This window comes from Homo sapiens, chromosome 7, assembly GCF_000001405.40.
Source record: "Homo sapiens chromosome 7, GRCh38.p14 Primary Assembly".
Classification (NCBI taxonomy): Eukaryota; Metazoa; Chordata; class Mammalia; order Primates; family Hominidae; genus Homo; species Homo sapiens.
This window is the reverse complement of record NC_000007.14, coordinates 53,926,530-53,948,481: the sequence shown is the minus strand read 5'-3', so window position 1 is coordinate 53,948,481 and position 21,952 is coordinate 53,926,530. Positions and strand designations below refer to the sequence as shown.

General features: G+C 34.8%; 1 long non-coding RNA gene across 1 annotated transcript; it reads left to right on the top strand.

Moving 5' to 3' along the window:
- Window positions 1-677: 677 nt before the first annotated feature.
- LINC02854 (long intergenic non-protein coding RNA 2854) lies at window positions 678-21,706 on the top strand. Its single transcript, XR_001745019.2, has 3 exons — window positions 678-831; window positions 18,234-18,454; window positions 21,497-21,706. It is a non-coding gene; the product is annotated as a long intergenic non-protein coding RNA 2854 (long non-coding RNA).
- Window positions 21,707-21,952: the final 246 nt, after the last annotated feature.

Here is a 21,952-nt window from a genome sequence, read left to right as displayed (position 1 = left end):
CTCCTTGCATCAATGTACCCTGTATAATCATAAAAATAGCAGAAGGAGAATATCCTTCCAGTCCTCTCCCACTCCTGTCCCCAGAGAACCAAGCAGGAGGTGATGAGGAAATTTCCAAGAGAGGAATTGTTCAGCTTCACAATATGACAAAATTGTACATGTTTAATCTGCTGTTCCTCTGGTTCTTTACTTATGAACTCAGACACAAAAGTAGAGGAACGATCTGTTTATGTATAAAAAGCAGTTAGCAAAATTGTATTTCATTGCATTATGCACAGGATTTAAAATCTTATACAATGTTTGCTTTAATCAATTAATTCCTACTCCACAAGCAAGTGACATCTATTTAAAATTAGATTCTAGAATGGTATTTTGAGCCAGGTTAATCAGAAAGAAAGACGTTTTGTAAGTAATTCTCTAAACTGTAGCCCTAAATACACAGAGTCTTTCAATTTCTTGCAGTGACCTCACTAAGAATTATATTTGGCATCCGACCTGCACCAGATGACTCTCATCACTGTATTCACATTGCCCCTAGCTCCCTTGAATATTTACAATTCATGGGATTTTTGTTTCATGGAATTCAATCCTGATTATTGTACAGCAGTCTATAAACTACAGTGGTAGATTGTTTTGTCACTTGCAACAATCAGTGCCTGTCTCCAGGGAGACATTCCACTCACGTATCTGTTCTTCGGTCTCATACATCGAGACTCTTCACAGTTCAGGCGCTAATGATTTTTGCCACCAAACACTTATGTTCACACCATTTTTAAAGCAGTTTTAAATCCTTGGGCAATTGGTCAAATGCTTCTTCTGGCTATTTTCTTGGTAAGTGGGCTTTTTTTCAGTAAAAAGGGACTCAGAATCACATGATGTACTACGAAAATAATTTTTTTATCCTTAACCGCTTTATAAAATCACATACACACACATATATAAATTGAAATTTGCAGTAGCTCAGAATTACAAAAATGTGTTTGACTTTTATTATTACTGTGGTATTTTTAGTGATCTCTATAGAAATGGAACAGATGGCTTCATGTTATAATGGAAGAACAATTATCATTAAATGGGTAACGATCTACAACATGTGAGAAAGAGAAAAATATAAAATTCTTTTTATAGGTTTTGATGAGACATTTCTTTCATGTATAGGTAATAATTCTGTGCACTGCTCTATAATTTTGGGAGGGATAATAGCAAAAATGTAGACTGAAAATATGTGCAAAGCTTTACTCACAATGGTGTGAGTGGCCACGAACCTTCACACCCTCTATTACACCATCACCCCTGCTTATGTTTTAGAGTCATACAAAGAAATAAGCACAGGACAACGTGGGAATGGCGGCTAAAACCTTGTACAAGGTAGAAATGCAGCACAGAGGAAGGATTCACTCTCTTAGAGGTTGTTGGCTGGGTGCAAGTCAGGAAATAATGTTGTGAAGAAATTTAGAGGCAGCAGTGTGGAAGAAATCAGCATAAGAACATTCAATCAAATCATGTTCAGTAACTGCAAATGGCAGACATTTTTCATAAAGCATAGAAACCAGTGCTCTCTGCAGAAGACGGGAGCAAGAAACAGATGAGGTTGGAGAAGCAGTTCTCTTCTCAATATTTCTCTGGGCTTAAAGATATTCTTGGCTCTACTTCCTCACTGCCAAATCATTTCCTGGCTAGTGTCAAAACTTTATCTCGTTCTTCTAGTCCACAATACCACTCAGAAGCAGCAGAGACTTTCCTCTGGAACCCACTAGGATACTAAAGCTATCTGGGCCACTGCTACAGGCCAGGAAAAGCATTTGTGTGATTCCTAGGGATTCGCATTTCAGGAAGAAGTAGAGGTAATCCATGGAGCCTAGAAAAAAATACTAAATTTACCTAAGTAGTTTTTTGTTTGTTTGTTTGTTTTTTAGCTCATGCCTCTTACGACTGTAACCCTTGGTCACCGTCCAAATGATATGCTTTCCAAGGACTAGTCATTTTATCATCCAAGTGTATTCTCTTTCTCATTTCCCAGCTGTAAACTTTACTCCCAATCTCTAATATGTCCCATGGAATGGTTATTTCACTCTAAACAAACTTCCCTGAACTATCACCTCTTCAGCAAATTCGAGACTTATCTCCTCACTTAAGCTGAAACATTTTGACACCTTGCTTGAAACAAGACTGCTTTCTCTAACCCTCCATGTACCACCTGGTAGGAAATGGTGCTGTCCTCTACTGAGTGGTTCTTGACACAATTGAGTATCAATTAGACAAGCTCATGCAGAAATATCACCTTGTCCTATACATTTTTATTTTTCATACAAACTTTTTCTCTTGGTCATTTTCTCATATTCAATCTTACTTTCCACTTTTATTCTTGAACAAGCTTGTTGACTTAAATATCCAACATCTCCAGCATTTAGAAATCCTTAAATTGCACTTTCTAAACCTATTATCAGAGCCACTTTGTGGATCCTGTTATTTCAAGTTTACTCCACCTTTTAGATGTTAAATTGCTAAGTATTTCAGTCCTCTAATTCTTCTTTCTTCAACCTTCAAAATGCTGCAATCCTACTTCAACATGTCCCAGGACTTCATGAAGATACTCATTCCATTGCCCCTGTGATTTTCTCCTCCTCTTCCTCCACAAGTTGAGATTGCATAATCTGATATTCTAACTATTCTCTTGACTTTACCACTTTGATGATTTTTTGACATATATCTTAAAAACCTAAACACTTTCATAGCTGAATATTTATGAAAAAACTGAAATAACCATTCAGGCTTTGGCCACTGCAAATGTATGACTCCCAATATTAGTTGGGCATAATTACCTATTTTTTTGTAATTTTCTCAATTAATACACGCTCTTCTCAGTCAGTAATCCCAAATATTTTTGACTCAAATTTCTCTATATAATTTAATGTTCTTCACTATGACACAGATTAACAAATAGTCCATCTGCTAAGAACTATTTTACCTGTACTCAGACAAGGCTGGGTACAAAGTCAATTAATATAATCCACTACATCAACAGACTAAAAAAGAAAATTACATGATCATGTCAATAGATACAGGAAAAAGTGTGATAAAATTTAGCAACCACTCATGATAAAAACTCTTAGTAAACTAGGGATAGAATTTGGAATCTACAGAGGGGAACTTTCTCAACTTGATAAATAATATCTACAAGAAAACTATAGCTAACATCATATTTAATGATAAGAAACTCAAAGCTTCTTCTCTAAGATAAGGAACAAGGCAAAGCTATCTCCTGCTACCAATCTTTTCAATATCATGCTGGAAGTACCAGCTCATGTAAGAAAAAAAAAAAGGGTGGGGGAATAAAAGTGTACAGATTTGCAAGAAAAAATAAAACTGCCCTTATTCACAGAAGACATAATCCTCTGGATAGAAAATCTGAAAAAAATCAAGATCTAAATTCTTGTAATTAATCAGCCGTTACTGAAAGCCATACTAGCATGAACAAGTAGAATTTAAATTGAAAAATGCAATACCATTTATATTAGCACTTGCCCCCCCAAAAAAGTGTTTGTATATGACAAAATATGCACAAGAGATATTTAAGGAGAACTACAAAATTCTTATGAAAGAAATAAAAGAACTAAATAAATGAAGAGATATTCCATGTTTTGGATAAGAAAAAATCATTGTTGTCAGATATCTGTTCTTCCCAACTGAATATATAGAGCCAATGTAATCCTAATAAAAATCCCAACAAGTTAATCTGTGGGTATCCACACGTTGACACTAGAGTATATAAAAAGAGGGAAAAGACCCAGCACAGCCAACACAATATTGAAGGAGAGCAAAGTTAGAGGACTGACGCTATTGGACTTCAAAATTTACTTTAGAGTGCTGGTAATCAAGGCAGTATAATATTGGCAAAAGAATAGACAAATAGATCAATGGAATGGACTAGGTATCCCTGAAATAGATCCACATCAATACAGTCAGCTGATCTTTGACAAAAGAGAAAAGGCAATAAAATGAAGAAAAAATAGACTTTTCAACAAATGAGGCTGGGAGAAGTGAAGATTCATATGCAAAAAAAAAGGGAATTTAGACACAGGTCTTACACCCTGCACTAAAATTAACTCAAATTGAATCATAGACCTAAATGTAGAACACAAAGTTATAAAACTCCTAAAATATAACATAGGAGTAGATTACCTAGGATTTGGCACTTTTTAGATATAACACCAAAGGTACAATCTATGAAACAAATAATTAATAAACTGAACTTTATTTTAAATATATATGTGTGTGTGTGTGTGTATATATATATATATATATATGCTCTGTAAAAAACATTTTTAAGAAAATAAAAAGAGAAGCCACAGCCTGGAGAAAATATTTGTAAATTACATATCATTACATATCTGATAAAGGACTATTATCCAAAATATGCAAAGAGCACTTAAAACTCAATAACAAGAAAAACAACTCTATTAAAAATTGGGTGAAAGTCCTCAACAGACTCCTCACCAAAGAAGTTACACAGATGACAAATACACACATAAAAAGATGCTCCATGTCATATGTTATCAGGGAAATGCAAAATAAAATAAAAATAGAAAGCCACTTCATACCTATTAGAATGACCAGTATTCAGAACACCAGAAACTTCAAATGCTGGCAAGGATGTGGAACAAGAACTCCCAGTCACTGCTGATGGGAAGGCAAAATGGTGTTACTACTTGGAAGACATTTGGTTGCTTCTTACAAAACTAAACACACTCTTATACCACTTTCCAACCATCATATTCATTGGTATTTACCCATATAAGTTAAATAGTTATGTCCACATCAAAACCTCCACATGGATGTTTATAGCAACTTTACCCATAAACGTCAAAACTTAGAAGCAACCAACATGTCCTTTAGTAGATGAATGAATTAAACCTTGGTGGTACATTCAGAAAATAACATAGTATTCAACAGTGAAAAACGAGCTATTGAGTAATGAAAATACATGGAGGAAACTTAAATCTATATTACTAATTGACAGAAGTCAATCTGAAAAGGCTACATACTGTATGATTCCAAATATATGACACTTTGGGAAATGCAAAACTACAGAGACAATAACAAGTTCAGTAGTTCCAGAAGTTAGGGATGAGGGAGGGAGGAATAGGCAGAGCACAGAAGACTTTTCAGGCATGGAAACCACTCTCTGTGATGCTATAATGGTAAATACAAAATGTCATTATACATTTGTCCAAACCCATGGAATGCACAACATCAAGAGTGACCCTCATCTAAATTGTAGACTTTGGGTTTGAATGATGTGTTAATGTAGGTTGATCAATTGTAACAAATGTACCACTCTGGTGGGTAAGTTGTTAATGAAAGAGATTGTGTGTGTGGGTGCAGATGGTACACACGAGAAATCTCTGTACCTCTTCTCAATGTTGTTATGAAATGAAAACTACTCCAAGAAGTATTCTATTAAAAGTAATAATTGGCTGGGCATGGTGGCTCACGCCTGTAACCCCAGCATTTTGGGAGGCCGAGGCAGGCGGATCACCTGAGGTCATGAGTTCCAGACCAGCCTGACCAACATGGAGAAACCCTGTCTCCACTAAAAATACAAAATTAGCCAGGCACAGTGGTGGCCACCTGTAATCCCAGCTACTCGGGAGGCTGAGGCAGGAGAATTGCTTGAACCCAGGAGGCAGAGGTTGCAATGAGCTGAAATCGTGCCATTGCACTCCAGCCTGGGCAACAAGAGAAAACTCCATCTCAATAAAATAAAATAAAATAAAGTAACGTAAAATAAAAGTAATAATTATTGTAAGGGGTGAGGTTAGAATCACTAAAATGTGGAGTATCGTCTTGAGATTTAGTGGAGAGAGAACCATGCAGTCATCTGATTTCTCTGTTGAGCTGCTGGAATGTCACTCAGGAAATGTCATTCTGGGTCAGAAATCACAGATTTAGGAATATTTTCAGGGAAAGATTTTTGAGTTCTCTTGGTTGTATTGAATTAATGTACCTATAGTGTCCTAATGTAAATGCACAGTAGTCCACTGGATGTACTCACCACATAATCATGGGTTGCATAGAGACAATTGAGATTCATCATAATGAATTGGGGGTTCATTTTGTCGGTGAGGGCAAGTTCATTCAGGAATTGTACATACAGTGAAGAGACAGCTTAATATAGAACCCTGGAGGTAACTCACATTTAATGTTTGAAAGAAGGAAAAGGGGCCGGCATGGGGGAACAATCTATTATCCCAGTATTTGGGGAGGCTGAGGAAGGAGGACTGCTTGATCCCAGAAGTTTGAGACCAGTCTGCCTAAACTCTGTTTGCACAAAAATGAAAAAATTAGCTGGGCATGGTGGCATGCACCTGTGGTCCCAGCTACTTGAGAAGCTGAGGTGGGAAGCTGAAGGCTTGAGCCCAGGAGATCCAGGCTGCAGTGAGCTGAGATGACACTACTGCACTCCAACCTGGGCTATAGAACAAGACTATATCTCAAAAACCCAAAAATGAAAACAAAGAAAAAAGGAAAAGCACCCCACAAATGAGTCAGAAGAGCAATAGAATTAAAACTAGAAAAATAGATTTGCATAACCATAAGATGGATGAATTTGAGAAACAGGAGTGTATCTGTACAGCATCTAATAATGGAGGAAAGAAAGGAGTTTGTTTAGGACCATTCTTACTTTTCAGTACCCATGAGGCATCCAGTGGGATATGTCAAAAGAAAAAATGTAAACTCCGTTCCAGAAATCTCAGGCTTTCGCTTTGAAATAATTTTGGTTTTTCAGAAGAGTTGCAAACATGGTACAGAGTTTCTGTAAACATGTCACCCAGCTTCCCCTTAATGTTAACATCTTACATAACCCAGGAATATTTATCAGACTGAGAAATCAACATTGGCACAATAGTAATGCAATACTAGTGCCTTTATTCACATTTCACTTTTTCCACTAAAGTCCTTTCCACTAGTGTCCTTTGATGTCCCAGGACGCACTCCAGGATGAAGCATTGTATTCCCTTGTTATCTTTCATTAGGCTCTGTCTTTGCCAATCAGGCTTTCATAAGAAAAGTACCAGAGACTGAGTGTCTTAAAAAACAAAGTTTCTCGGGGTTGGGAAGTTCAAGCTTAAGGCCCTGGAATATGTGGCATCTGGTGAGGACACTTTCTGGTTTGCAGATAGCTGTCTTCTCACATTGTATCTTCCTATGGTGGACAGCGCAGGATCTGGTCCTGTCTCTTCTTCTTTATAAATGCACCAGTGTCATAACCACTCTCATGACCATCTTGCTCCTGAAGGCCTCACCTCCTAATGCCATCACATTGGGATTGAGGATTTCAGCGTATGAGTTTTGGAGTGACATATTTAGTCCAGTTAACACCCTTCCCTGGTCTGTTACAGTTACTCTGTCTTTCCTGGTCTTTTATTGTTATGATACTTTTGAAGAATATTGGTCAGATATTTTGTAGAATGTCCTTCAGTATGGATTCATCTAATATTTTACCATTATTAGACTGAGGCTATTGATTTGGGAAAGACAATCACAGAAGTTGAGTGTTCTTCTTGTCATATCACATTCACACATTTTGTCATTGGTGGTATGAACCGTGGTCCGCTGGCTAATGTCATATCTTCCAGCTTTTTTTCACTGTAAAGTTACTGTTTTTTACTTTGCATGCATTGTTCTTTGGAGGCATGTCACTAAGGAATGGGTACTGATTTTATATTTTATAAGCTTACTTTGAAATTATGGAATATGAACAGAAGAGCCAGGATACTATGTAAATGTGCAGACCTAAGCAGATTTCTAGCAAAAAAAAAAAAAAAGAAAAGAAAAGGAAAAAAGACAGAAAGAAGAAGAAAGAAAGAAATAGAAAGAGAGATTTTAAAAATAAAGAGAAATCTGAAATTAAGCATTAGACTCTGATTACGGAGATTAAACTTGTAATTATCAAGTGAAAACAAAGTTTCCTTCAAAGACAGGAAGATGTACTCTAGATGAGAAAGGAGAATACCCAGTCCCCTCCTGGGACATTTTAAGATGTAAACCAGGAACCAACCACCAATTAAATGAATGCTGCCCAAACATTAGAAAAATTTTAACCACATTGCTTAGGAAGAAGCAAAAGGAAACAAAGAATGAGGCCACTTTGCCTAATAAAATGTGTTAATTCTAGAATGTGTTCTCTTTTCCCATTCCTTTACTTTTTACCTTAAACCATTTGATTAGCAAAGAGGGCTTTTTCAATGTTAAGGATGACAGAGAGAAAAAAAGTAATTCTATTTTTAGCAATTAGGTAGTTTTTCTTGATTCTTTGGAATTCTAAACTTAAATGGTATTCCCAGTTTCTGAATAAACAGGAGCATAATTTATAAGATATTAGGGTGGTTATATAAGATATCCAAATTATCTACACATTTTCTTTTAAATAACTTTAATAGCTCCTAATTGCATGTAAAATACATAACAATAAACTGGCCGGGCGCAGTGGCTCACTCCTATAATCCCAACACTTTGGGAGGCCGAGGTGGGCAGATCACCTGAGGCCAGGAGTTCGAGACCAGCCTGACCAACATGGAGAAACTCCATCTTTACTAAATCATACAAAATTAGCCAGGCGTGGTGGTGCACGCCTGGAGTCCCAGTTACTCAGGAGGCTGAGGCAGGAGAATCACTTGAATCTGGGAGGTAGAGGTTGTGGTGAGCCAAGATCATGCCATTGCACTCCATTCTGGGCAACAAGAGCAAAACTCTGTCTCAAAAAAAACAAAAACAAAAAAAATGAAAGAAAACCAATAAACTATTTCTAATCTTTGTAATTATCTTCAGGAGGGATTTAAAATTTACTTATTTCAGAAATAATTTAAAAGTCAAAGTGCAACAATATATCTCAAATGAGGAAATCAAATAAAAACAATATTTAAAAAAATGCATTATAAAGAAGAGATATACGAAGAATTAATTATCAGTATATCAACATAACAAATTAAAGAAGTGATCCTAGGATCATTGTCATATAAATACTTGATAAATTAGAAAACTAGTGAAATTAACTAACTAATCCTTTAACATAGTTTGTGTCATTTGGTCAATCAATATTTTTTTAATTGAGGAATCAGTCACGTCTCCTATCTCCTTACCCACATACTCAGCAGAAGTTGCTACGTATATGAATGGTAGAGTTAAAATTAATGTGGCACTGTTTAGTGTGGAGACATGAACCACATGATCTATCATTATTACTTAGCCTTCACATTATAATTTACCAGTTTGATTTTCATTTTCAGTGAAATCGACAATTCAGTTACAGACAATCATGGCCTGATGGACCATGTAACTGGCAGAAATAACGCACCATTTAAAGATTTTGTTCTTCATCAATATGTAACTAATAATATCCTCTTCTGTGGGCATATAGCTTTTTATTTCTTAAAAAAACTCTATTCACATGAATTAACTTTATCATTTCTCCATAACTAGACTGAGGAAAATTATGAATCTCCTGTGGGTCACTAGGCAATATTTCTTAAGTTCTCAGTACAGACCACCATACAGTCTCCTGTCCTGTTCATTCTGGTCTGTCTGCAAATCTCAGGATGAAACTAATATCAGTAATTTGGGCAAAAACAATAATTCCAATATCGATCAGATTTCAAAATTTTTTAACACGTTGTTCAAAATAAACTATTGCTTGTAGAAATTTCAGAACCAAACTCATATAACCCCTCACTACTACATGAATTCATTAGTCTTCATTGTGTATTATGCCTTTAGTTATCTTTTTTCTACCTCAGTTTTATTTCATTTATTAAAGTTTACCTTGTTTCTTGCATTTATATTTGCAAGTCAAAAATCTGCATTTTGTTACAAGTTGAGTTATGAAAATAAATGAATAATTAGATATAGTTGGATAGATATATTGACACCACTGAATTCCTTTAAATCAGAACATATTTTAATAAGATTGTGCTAATTAACTTTTCTTCTGAGGAAATCACAAGTCAGATTTCTCATCAAGGAGAAGTTAATTTAGTTCCCTATGGCCATGTATAATGACCCAATGGCATTTGCTTTAACATTATGGGCTCAGATATTCACGGCTGGTTTCTCAGATGGTGGTTTATTTTTTTTTTTTAATCATTCTAACTACATTTTGAGGAGTAAGAACTAAGCAATAATTGTGTCCTCTAAATTAACAAATTGAACATAATTTAGCATGTCCTACACAAATTGAGTTTCTAAAAAATAACGATAAATGGCAAAATTATTCCAAAAACTAACATTTGTGGGGTTTTTTTTTTTTTGGTTTTGTTAAACACATTTTTCATTAATCTAAACTCCTGATCTCGGATACTAGACATGGGCTCCGATCCCAGGACTCTGCTCTGACTTACTGCACCTCCTATGCATTTTCACGTATAGGTGGCTTGGTTGATATGAACAACATGTGAAATTTCATTCATGATGCAGTACCTAAGACACTTGAGGAGCTGACCACCCATTGCCTGTCAATGGTGCTGCATGCCACACTGGCCTGCTTACACCTCAGAAGATGGAGCTTTTCAGTTGACCTTGAGCCACGCTTGGTTTCCCAGGTGGTGGTTCAGAAGTTTCACCAGCTATTAAAATTTGGTCTACAGTCAACATAATGCTTACTGGTACAATATTTTTGGCATTTGCATAAAAGCAGGACAAAGAAGAGGACCACCATCACTGATATCATTTAACGCTATTCCAAATATTCTAGCAAATAAAGTAGGATACAGAGATATAAAAATTTAAAATAAGATATTAGGAAAGAAGCAAACATCATTATTTCCTACAATAGGGTGATCTGCTTTCTATTGCTGTATAGGAAATAGTCCCCAAACCATCCCCTGGGAACTAAGTGTTAAAACTGGGACTGACATGGCACCTCTCTTGGTGCAGTCTCAGGTCTGACCTGTATGGTCACAGCATGGTGGCTTCAGAGCAGCCAAGATTGCTCACCCGTTTTGACCTGGGACTCTGGAGAACAAAATTGAATAGTGCCACTCTTTATGACTGACCTCAGAGATCACTCAGCCTCACTTCTGCTATATTTTCCAGTTATAAGGGAGTCCCAAGCCTGCAGGTTAATATGAAGGAGACATAGACCCACCTTCTTGTTAGGAGAAATACCAAAATCACATAATAGAAGAAGCCCCAGGAATGGGAAGGATGGTTGCAGCCCTGTTGAGGGCTGTGTGCAACACAGTGTATGAACAAGATGTTCTACCTGGAAGACAACCACAACCAAAACAACTGAAATCCTATTAGATCTATTATGAAGACTCAGCAATGTCACTTATATAAAATAAATGCACAAACTTTAATACCTTCCTTACTACCTAGAACTAATTGGTTAATTTATAATAGGGAGAAAGTATTTCACATACAGTTACTAAAATTATATATGTATGTATTTTTGTCCTATATAATATATTCATATCCAGATATATATATATATATATATATATATATAAAATATTCCACAGGATAAAACCAAAATACTTTATAAGATTTGACTTGTTTTAAAGTGGGATTTGAATATATGCAGAAACGTAGTAAGTTTCTAAGTGGAAATATTTAATTTGGTATGAATACACATATATTTTATGTATTTCAATGGAATTTCAAGGGATTTTAATTTTTCAGTGAGCCACAATCATTCTAAAGTACATTTATAAAAAAGATATCTAAAATTAGCAATATCTGCTTAAAAAAAGAATAAAGAGGGAAAATTTTACTACCAATTAATAATAATAGAATAAAGCTCTAATTATTAAAATTATACAATATTAGTTCAAGGAATAATCAGCTACTTAATAGAATAAAATGAAAATTGCATACATAGATATAAGTACAAATTTGGGTCTATTATAGAAATGGCATTGGAAATCAATGGATAAAGTTAGATCAAAATAATCTACTTATGAAAGTTTATTGTTTGGAGTAAAAAAAAACACATACAAGGCTCACATTTAAAACACAAAAGATTAAATTCCTGATGTATTAAATAGTAAACTGCAAAAGTTAAATCATAAACATACAAATGCAGAGAGCTTAATATAATGAAAGAAATATAATAAAACATACATAAACAAATATGTGCTGTAGAGGTAATCACAAATTTATCAACTCCTTTAAGAAAATTACTGATAATTTTAAAATGTAGATATAACATATATATCTTAGTAAAATTTAAATGCAAAAGAAAGAGAGAAGGAGAAAATCAAAAGATTAAAAAGATTTAATATTATAGGAAGCCTTTAAAGTAGCATGTTAAAGAGGAATATGCTAGAGTAAACATTGGCATAATTCTGAACAGGTAGTTTACAAAAGACATGCAAATATTTCAAATAAAGATGTCTATATTAGCATCATGTATTTTAGCATTGCTCTTATAGCAAATTCACAATGCCTACAAGAAATGATAAAACAGTTCAATAGATGTTGATAGATGTGAGAGAATGAGTTCTTTCACTCTCTAACTGTGGGAATTATAAATCAGTATATCCTCTTGAAAAGTCATAAGAATACATTAAAATTAGTGTGCTCTTTGCAAAACCAATTTATGTCCTAGGAATTTATCCAAATAAAATAAAAGCAGTCATACAAAAATAATTTTCCAAAATTCACTCTTAACCATGCTGTACATTGGAATCATGTGGGAAGCTTTAAACATTGTTGATGCTGAATTTCTAATTTGATTGAGCTGGTCTCTCAATTTTTACAATGAGGACTTGTAAAAATTCTCACTGGAATCTAATTATGAGTTAAGGTGAAGAACAACTAATTTAAAATGTTTAATAAAGCTTTGTGTATATTAATGAATGGCTTTGAAATAGACTAACTCTTGGGAGAATAGGTAACTGTGGTAAGGTATTATGATGAAAGCTTTGAATCATTAACATAAAACGTGGTTGAATAACAATATAAATTTTTGTAAATCCATACACTAATTTAGAAACAATTCCCACATTTTTAGTATTCAATATTTCCGAGTAGTATTATAGTTTGCCATTCAATTTAGCTACCTCCTTTCATACACTCAATATACTTGTATATATTTCTTATGCATTCCATATTTCATTATTTTATATTTCATGTTGATTATTTTGTTATATATTCCATTTACCTTGTGTATTTTATTTATTTATTTATTTATTTTTATCAGCATGGAAACTCTGCCCACAATAGCTATCAACTGATTATTGCTGACATAAGAAAAAGCTATTACATTTGACAAATTACTTGTACATTATTCCATATTAAATAATTTTTTCACTTGATCTTCTTGAGTGAATACATTTTTTGTTTCTGTATCTCTTCCTCATTCCTTAACAGAAATTTTAAAATAACTTTCATTTCAATGGTAAAATACGGTTGGTTGGTGTGATTTCCAAACAAATGTACTTTTTTTTTCCCCCTTTTTCAACTTCTTGTTTAGATTTAGGAGATACATGTGCAGGGCTGCTACCTGGGTATATTGTGTGACACTGAGGTTGGAGCACGAATGGTCCCGTCACCTAAGTAGTAAGCACATAACACTTAATTTCTAAACCCTTACCTCATTCTGTCCCTCCCCACCAGTAGTCCCCAGTGTTTATTGTTGCCGTCTCTACGTACATGAGTACTGGACATTTAGCTCCCACTTGTAAGTAAGAATACCCAGTATTTGTTCTCCTCTTCCTGAGTTAATTTACTTAGCATAATGGCCTCCAGTTGCATCCATGTTGCTGCAAAGGACAGGCTATTTTTATGGCTGTGTAAGTATTCCACAGTTATATTTACCACATTTTCTTTATCCAATCCACCGTTGATGGACACCTAGGTTGATTCCATGACTTTGCTATTGTGATGAATTGTGCTGCGATGGATATGTGGGTGTATCTCTTATTGGTAGAACATTTTTTAAAATTTTGGATATATACCCAGTAATGGGATTGCCAACCAAATGTATTTTAAGGAAATATATTTTTCACATTTTGAAAGGCATTTTACCATGAATTTCTAAAAACTGTATTAAATTATTGCAGACTTTCACTTAAAAGCAGATCTAGGTATTGATCATCTGATAGGATGCATGTTACGTTGAGATATGCTAAAATTATCAAGCTTGTATTACTACAATTTAAAAACTAATGGTATGATGAGTTTTTTCTTTTTCTTTTTTTAAAATTTATTTTACTTTAAGTTCTGGAATACATATGCAGAATGTGCAGGTTTGTTACATAGGTATATGTGTGCCATGGTGGTTTGCTCCACCTATGGACCTGTCCTCTAAGTTCCCTCCCATTGCCTCCTACCCCACAACAGGCCCTGGTGTGTGTTGTTCCCTTCCCTGTGTCCATTGTTCACCTCCCACTTATGAGTGAGAACATGTAGTGTTTGGTTTCCTGTTCCTGTGGTAGTTTGTTGAGGATGATGGCTTCCAGCTTTATCCATGTCCTTACAAGGGGCACAATCTCATTCCTTTTTATGGCTGCATAGTATTCCATGGTGTATATGTACCACATTTCCTTTTACCAGACTATCATTGATGGACATTTGAGTTGGTTCCATGACTTTGCTACCATAAATAGTGCTGCAATAAACATACCTGTGTGTGTGTCTCTATAGCAGAATGATTTATATTCCTTTGTGTATATACCCAGTAATGAGATTGCTGGGTCAAATGGTATTTCTGGTTCTAGATCCTTGAGGAACCACCATACTATCTTCCACAATGTTTGAAGCAATTTACATTCCCACCAACAGTGTAAAAGCCTTCCTTTTTCTCCACAGCCTCGCCAGCATCTATTGTTTCTTGACTTTTTAATAATCATCATTCTGACTGTAAGATGGTATCTCATTGTGGTTTTGATTTGCATTTCTCTAATGATCAGTGATATTAAATTTTTTTATATGTTTGTTGTCTGTGTAAATGTCTTTTTTAGAGAAGTGTTTGTTCATATTCTTTGCCCACTTTTTGATGGAATTGTTTGTTTCTTTTCTTGTAAATTTGTTTAAGTTCCCTGTAAATTCTGGATATTAGACCTTTGTCAGATGGGTAGATTGCAAAAATTTTCTCCCATTATTTAGGTTGCCTGTTTATTCTGATGATAGTTGCTTTTGCTGTGCAGAAGCTCTTTAGTTTAATTAGATCTCCTTTGTCAATTTTGGCTTTTATTGCATTGCTTTAGGAGTTTGTCCATGCCTAAGTCCTGAATGGTATTGCCTAAGTTTTATTCTAGGGTTTTTATGGTTTTGGGTTTTACATTTAAGTCTCTAATCTATCTTGACTCAATATTTGTATAAGGTGTAAGGAAGGGGTCCAGTTTCAGTTTTCTGCATATGGCTAGCCAGTTTTCCCAGCACCACTTATTAAATAGGAGATCCTTTCCCCACTGCTTGTTATTGTCAGGTTTGTCGAAGATCAGATGGTTGTAGATGCGTGGTATTATTTCTGAGGTCTCTGTTCTGTTCCTTTTTGGTCTATATGTCTGTTTTGGTACCAGTACCATGCTGTTTTGGTTACTGTAGCACTGTAGTATAGTTTGAAGTCAGGTAGCATGATGTCTCCATTTGTTTTTTATGCTTAGGATTGTCTTGGCTATACAGGGTCTTCTTTGATTCTACATGAAATTTAAAGTAGTTTTTTCTGATTCTGTGAAGAATGTCAATGGTAGTTTGATGGGAATAGCAATGAATCTATTAATTACTTTGGGCAGTATGGCCATTTTCACGATATTTGTTCTTCCTATCCATGAGGATGGAACGTTTTTCCATTTGTTTGTGTCCTCTATTATTTCCTTGAGCAGTGGTTTGTAGTTCTCCTTGAAGAGGTCCTTCACATCCCTTGTTAACTGTATTCTTAGGTATTTTATTCTCTTTGTAGCTATTGTAAATGGGAGTTCATTCATGATTTGGCTCTCTGCTTGTCTATTGTTGGTGTGAAGGAATGCTTGTGATTTTTGCACATTGATTTTGTATGCTGAGACCTTGCTGAAGTTGCTTATCAGCTTAAGGAGTTTTTGGGCTGAGATGACGGAGATATACTACTACAATTAAAATGTAATTGGTATGGTAAATTTTTCCAACTTTTTCTTATGTTTGACTTGTTGGTCTATAGAATTAATTTATCACTCTGGCTATGTTGGCATTTTCTATTCAGCATTATATTTTCATTATTAATATAATTTTAGTATTCAGCTTGAAAAAAAGTGTTTGTTTTTTAACCTATTTTGCAAAAATTCTGTAGTGACTCCTTATCATCTGTACCCTTGTTTCAGAAGAAAGTAGTTACTCCATGACCCATGGTAGCACCTCCTGGCAGTTCTAAGGCTGAGAGACTGTCACTGAATGCAACATGGATTTGACCCCTTGGAATGTTGGGTCATGTATTCAGTACACCTCCTGATTTTCTGATTCTGCAGGCCAGACTTCTTCAACTTTCTGGCCCAAATTTGACAGGAAGATAGAGCCTTCCAATCTATCCTCTGCTCCAGATGCCTTCATCATTCCTGGAATTTCTCCTTAATTTTCCTCTCCCAAATGGATAATGCAATCCGTGCATGCAACACCTGAAATGATACTAACTTTGAAAGAGCTGGTGACTTTGTCTGTTTAGATTATGCCCCTGAGGTACAAACTGTCACTTAAGCAGGCATAAGAGATTTTGCCCAATTAGAATATTCAAAACTAGGTTGTATGCGACAACTGAAAAGACTCCTTCTTTAAATGATGAACATGAAGTAAGTACCTGCATGACTGTGATCAAACCATAAAACATGTATCTCCACAAAAGGGATGCAGTGCAGTTTACATGTTTTTGAAAATATGCAGAAATTATTTTATTTGAATTCTGGGGAATGCAGAAGTTAGTTACAATCATGTTTTTCTTCCACTTCTTAGTTTGTTTCAATGTCTCATTGTTTATCTGGAATCACTGGGGTGCCCATGTATCCATCTCAAATATCTCCCATCTCTCAGATCTAACTCCATTCTTTCATTTTTCCAGTGCTATTGCCAATTTTTGTCTTTTATATTTATCTACCTGCATATATTTTAATGTGAAGTTGAGATAATCTTTTTTTTTGGAAAACAATTTCAACTGTAATTAACCTGATGCCTAGCTTCAGATTCCTCCTTCTTCTTGGAACTGTCCTGCATCTACATTTAGAGTTCTTGGGGTGCAGTCAAAAAGGCTTGCCTCGGGGATTAAAAATGTGTTCTGATAACCAGTCCAGTATGCCTGATGGGCCCTGGCACACCCTCAGGATTTGAATCTGTTTAGCTTATATTAAATACTTAATATAATTTAAAATAGTTTATGTGGGATTTTTATTTACTCTGTATACAAAAACATGTCATTGTTCTTAGAATCATTTAGTCTAAATATCAAAGTGAAAGTTGAAGGATATTAAGAAACTATGGGTAGCTCATACTTCAGTATCAGTTTTAGCTTTTCCAAGAAAGTGAAATTGCTATTGGATATTACAGTGAATGATCCCTTACAGCATAGGCAAGGTGGAATGAAAATGGCAACACTTATATAGTGATTTTTAGGGTATCAGGGGCATTTTCATAGTAATAATAATAAAGTGCAGTCATATTTTGTGCAAAGATTAGGTCAAGCTGATTTGTTTAAGCTGAATTTGGAGTAGAAAAGGATCAAATCAAATGTCTTGATCAGTTTCAGTGCTATTTTTATTCTTGTCATGTACCCTTCAAGCTTGCATCATTTGGCATAAGCAGTGTCTTACCAGACTTAGGAGTTTTGCTTTCATTTTATAAATAATAAATTCTAGATGTTTCTGCAACTTCATATTTTCTTCTATTTTTTAAAATACCCTCTCCAAATATATTTTTTGTTTTATGCTAAGAAAATGGAAATTATTCACAGCTAATACTGTTAAGTAGAATCAATGTTTCATTAATACTACACCTAATTTGATAACGAAACATGATTTAAGTATACAAAAGCATTGATAACTAAACATGATTTAAGTAAACAAAGGCAGAGAATATAATGACCATTTACAATTGTTTAAGAGCTGCATCCCTTACAGAAAATAAATAACAAATTTGAGTAACAAAAATTACAATGCAGAGTAATTGGGTTGGAGTATAAATTTTTTTAAATAGTGTGTGAGTTGACTATTGCTATTATAACAAATTACCACAAGCTTAATGTCCTAGCACAGCATGAATTTATTACCTTACAGTTCTGAAAGTCAGAAGTTTGAAGAGGGTTTTAGGGATTCGAATTAAGGTGTCAGCAGACCTGTGCTTCTCTGGAAGGCTCTACGGGAGAGATTTACCTTCTCCAGCTTCCAGTGGCTGGCTGCCCACACACCTTGGCTCGTGGCCACCTCCTCACGTCAGTCCAGCCTCTGCCACCATCGTCAACTCTCCCACTATGACTGAGACCTTCTGCCTGTCTCAGGTAAGGACCTTGGTGATTACATTGGATTCACTCAGGTAATCCAGAATAATCTCCCCTTTCCAAACTCCTTAGACTAATCTCATCTTCAAAATTCCTTTTGCCATGGAAGGCAACATATTCACAGGTTTCATGGATTAGGTTATGAATATCTTTGGGGGAACGTTATCCAGCCACATAGTCTGCATATATTTTCTCCTGCATTATTAATGATGTCCTAAGAAAAACAATTGATTTATATGGGTCATATTATATGTGACATTTGGACAAAAGTCAGGAAAAAAAATCAAACATATTTGCATCTCTTAATTTTAGATTTCTGCCGTTATTGTTAGTTCACATATTTGTTTTACTTTCTTGATATGATTTTACACGACTAATTTATCATTTACCCACATGTTTATGTCCTAAAAAATCACTTTATGTTGGTCAGATCATAAATGAAAATAAAGTTAAAGCCAAAATAAATTAAACATTTATAAAATACTTAATACTAGCAATCCCATTATTCTTATTTTCTCTTTAATTTGTAATTAATCAGGTTTGCATATTTCAGTGCCTATTTTACCTTAAGAGTGGATAGAATCTAAATTATAATGAATAAACATGAGTTAATCAAATGTGCAAGTAGAGATTTTACTTTTCGATGATACTGAGTTATTGATTTGCTAGTATTTTAACATACATTTCTCCAACTTTATCTTAGGAATAGTCTCAATAGTTCAAGTGATCTATAGGATTAAGTATTTACTTTATATTAATTCATCATTCATGATTCAACACAACACCACGCATCCCAAACAGTCAAGTATCTTTTGCGATCATGCATGTGAGTCCCCAAAGGTGGGGTTTCCCCCTCAATCCCCTGTTTCCTTCATTGCTGAGTCTCTGTCCCTTAGGCTGTGCCTAGAACTCAGCTGCTGCTCTAAGATATTTGTTGAATAAAATATATTAAATATGATAATTCCACAAGAATATTTCTTTATCTCAGTTCTTGTTCATTATTCATTTGTTGGAAAACTTTTTTTCAAATGCTATATTAATGAATGTATAACTATCTCCTTGAGAAGAGGCATTTTTAATTGACAAAGTAATGGCATATCTTAAAGATTTCAACATAAATGCTATGTTTTCTTTAAGCACGTTAGAACAGTATCTATTATGGCTCATAGCACTCAGCAAAGGCTTGATGTATCCTCAATACATTCACAAGAATAAACCCCACTTTTCTAAAAATGACTAATGAGATTTCAAGATATAATGGAAGTGCTCTTAGCTTACTGAATGCCATGTTAACTCTTAACAGCAAAATACAAACAAATATAAAACTCAAAGCTGACATCAATGTCTGCAGCATTTTCTGGTTCTGAATAAGATGCTATCACATTTAGCAGGACACATCTCTAGCACTCTCCTGTGATCAATTGCCAGTTACTCAGCAAGATGTCTTATTACTGTTAGAATAATTGGCAAATAAAACTTTGTCAATGCACGTTGTTACCACGTATAGAATCTAATAGCAAAAAAAGAGAAATGATAGTTTCAGAATGATTAGACGAATATTTCTGTTTACTCTCATGAGGCATGATTCAGTTATCTTGAAGCCTTTATTTCACAAGGACTTTGTCATTTTTGTTGTCTTCCAAAAGTTTTGTACATTATAATACACTGTCAAAGCATATCTTTGAAGAGAGAAATGTGGGATGCATTTAAATGCACTTGGTCCTTAAATAAGCAGAAAATTAATGTGGCATACTTTCCGTAGCTTAGTAGAAGAGAAATATCCCACATTGTATTATTGGCTGAATAATGTAAAGCAATGCATCTTTCAGTAAGTTCAGTAATTATTAATGCTGAATTTAAACCAACAGTCTTCAACTTTGTAGCAGAAAAGTCAAACTATCTCAATAAGGATACAGAATAAATTAGATATGACAATTTTTCTTTAAAATAATTTATTGCAGAATGTCAAATATTATTTTCTTGATTCATATTTTAAGTTACTGTTATATGCCCAAGAAAATATCAATAAATGAAGGTGAAATAAATATATAACAAGTATTTTATTAGTGGGGAAGTATGAAATTCATCTATTTATGAAAATAGCCAATGTACTACCCTTATGATGTTTTTCATGGTAGACTGAATTTATTAGCAGAGGCAGTTCACCAATTATCAAACACACTTGAAAATTAGTTAACATTTTTAAGAGGAATTTTGAGAGAAAAATAATTTTATAAAATACTTTGTCATTAGTTAGTGGCTATTTATGGTATATCTTCACAGTACTGAAACAATTGTAGATGAACTGAACAATTACGAAGAATAAATTCATGGCCATTTTTTAAGTGGTAGGTGGTATTATTTTCATTTCTATTTATGATGCAATAATAACAGGTTGAAAGATAGACAATTCTGTCCTCAAACATTGACTTTTCCAACATAATAAACACCTGGTGTTTAACTCTTGCTAATGAAGTCAAATCTGTTAAATATTATAATCCTCTGTACACATAACTGTCTGAGGAGAAGTACAGTCAACAAATATTGAGAGTCAGTGAGGGACTACCCAAAAGTCGGAGTGTCTGTGGATAAATTTTTCAGTGACACTGCACAGGCTAGGGCAGTTCTGTTGCTGTGGTTCTGGTGCTGGTAGTATTAGTAGAGGTACAAACTAAGCATTTCTAGGGGGAAAGGTGAGTGCTTTGGTAAACACTTTGTACATATTGTCTCATTTAATCTTTTTTAAAAAGCAAAGTAGGTATTATTATTGCCATTTAACAAATGAATAAACAAATATTCTGAGATGCAAAGCATATTGGGCAAGTTGCTAATCCAGATTTTTAGGGCACACACAAAGCCTTTCTAACAATTTCTCAGTTATTCATGGCTCTTAGGTTGCAAAGCCCTCATATCCAAGCTGAACTTGTTTACATAAAACAATTTTTGTTTAAGTAAGTGAAATCAAGAGCTGCAGGTTGGAGATCAAACCAGACTGCATGGACTCCCTTTCTCAAGGTTGTTTCTTGTCTCTGTTTTTTTCAGCACATGAGTTTCAGGCTCTCTACCGTTCATGCCCATGACACCAGGAGCAGCACCCTGGAGCAGACACAGCCAGACCACAAACCCAGCTCAAGGTTAATCACTGCTGCCCGTCAATGTGATTATCTCCCTCTGCATGGCAGTGCCATTTTCCCACTGTGGGACCAGAGTATGTGCTGTCATACACAACAGTAAACACTGGATGCTGTTAATTCATGGCTGCCTGGCGTGCTCGCACACACACACACACACACACACACACACACACACACAGACACACACACAGGCATCAATGCCTTTCTTTGTAAAATACAATTTAAATTTATTCCTTATTCTAATACAAAAAAGTTACATATAATCAAAGCCACACCTACTTCAAAAACACAGCCAGCCAATGGAGGTATTTCTAAGTTTTAAATTTCTAAGTCTTTTTTTTTTTTCAGAGACACGATTTTGCTC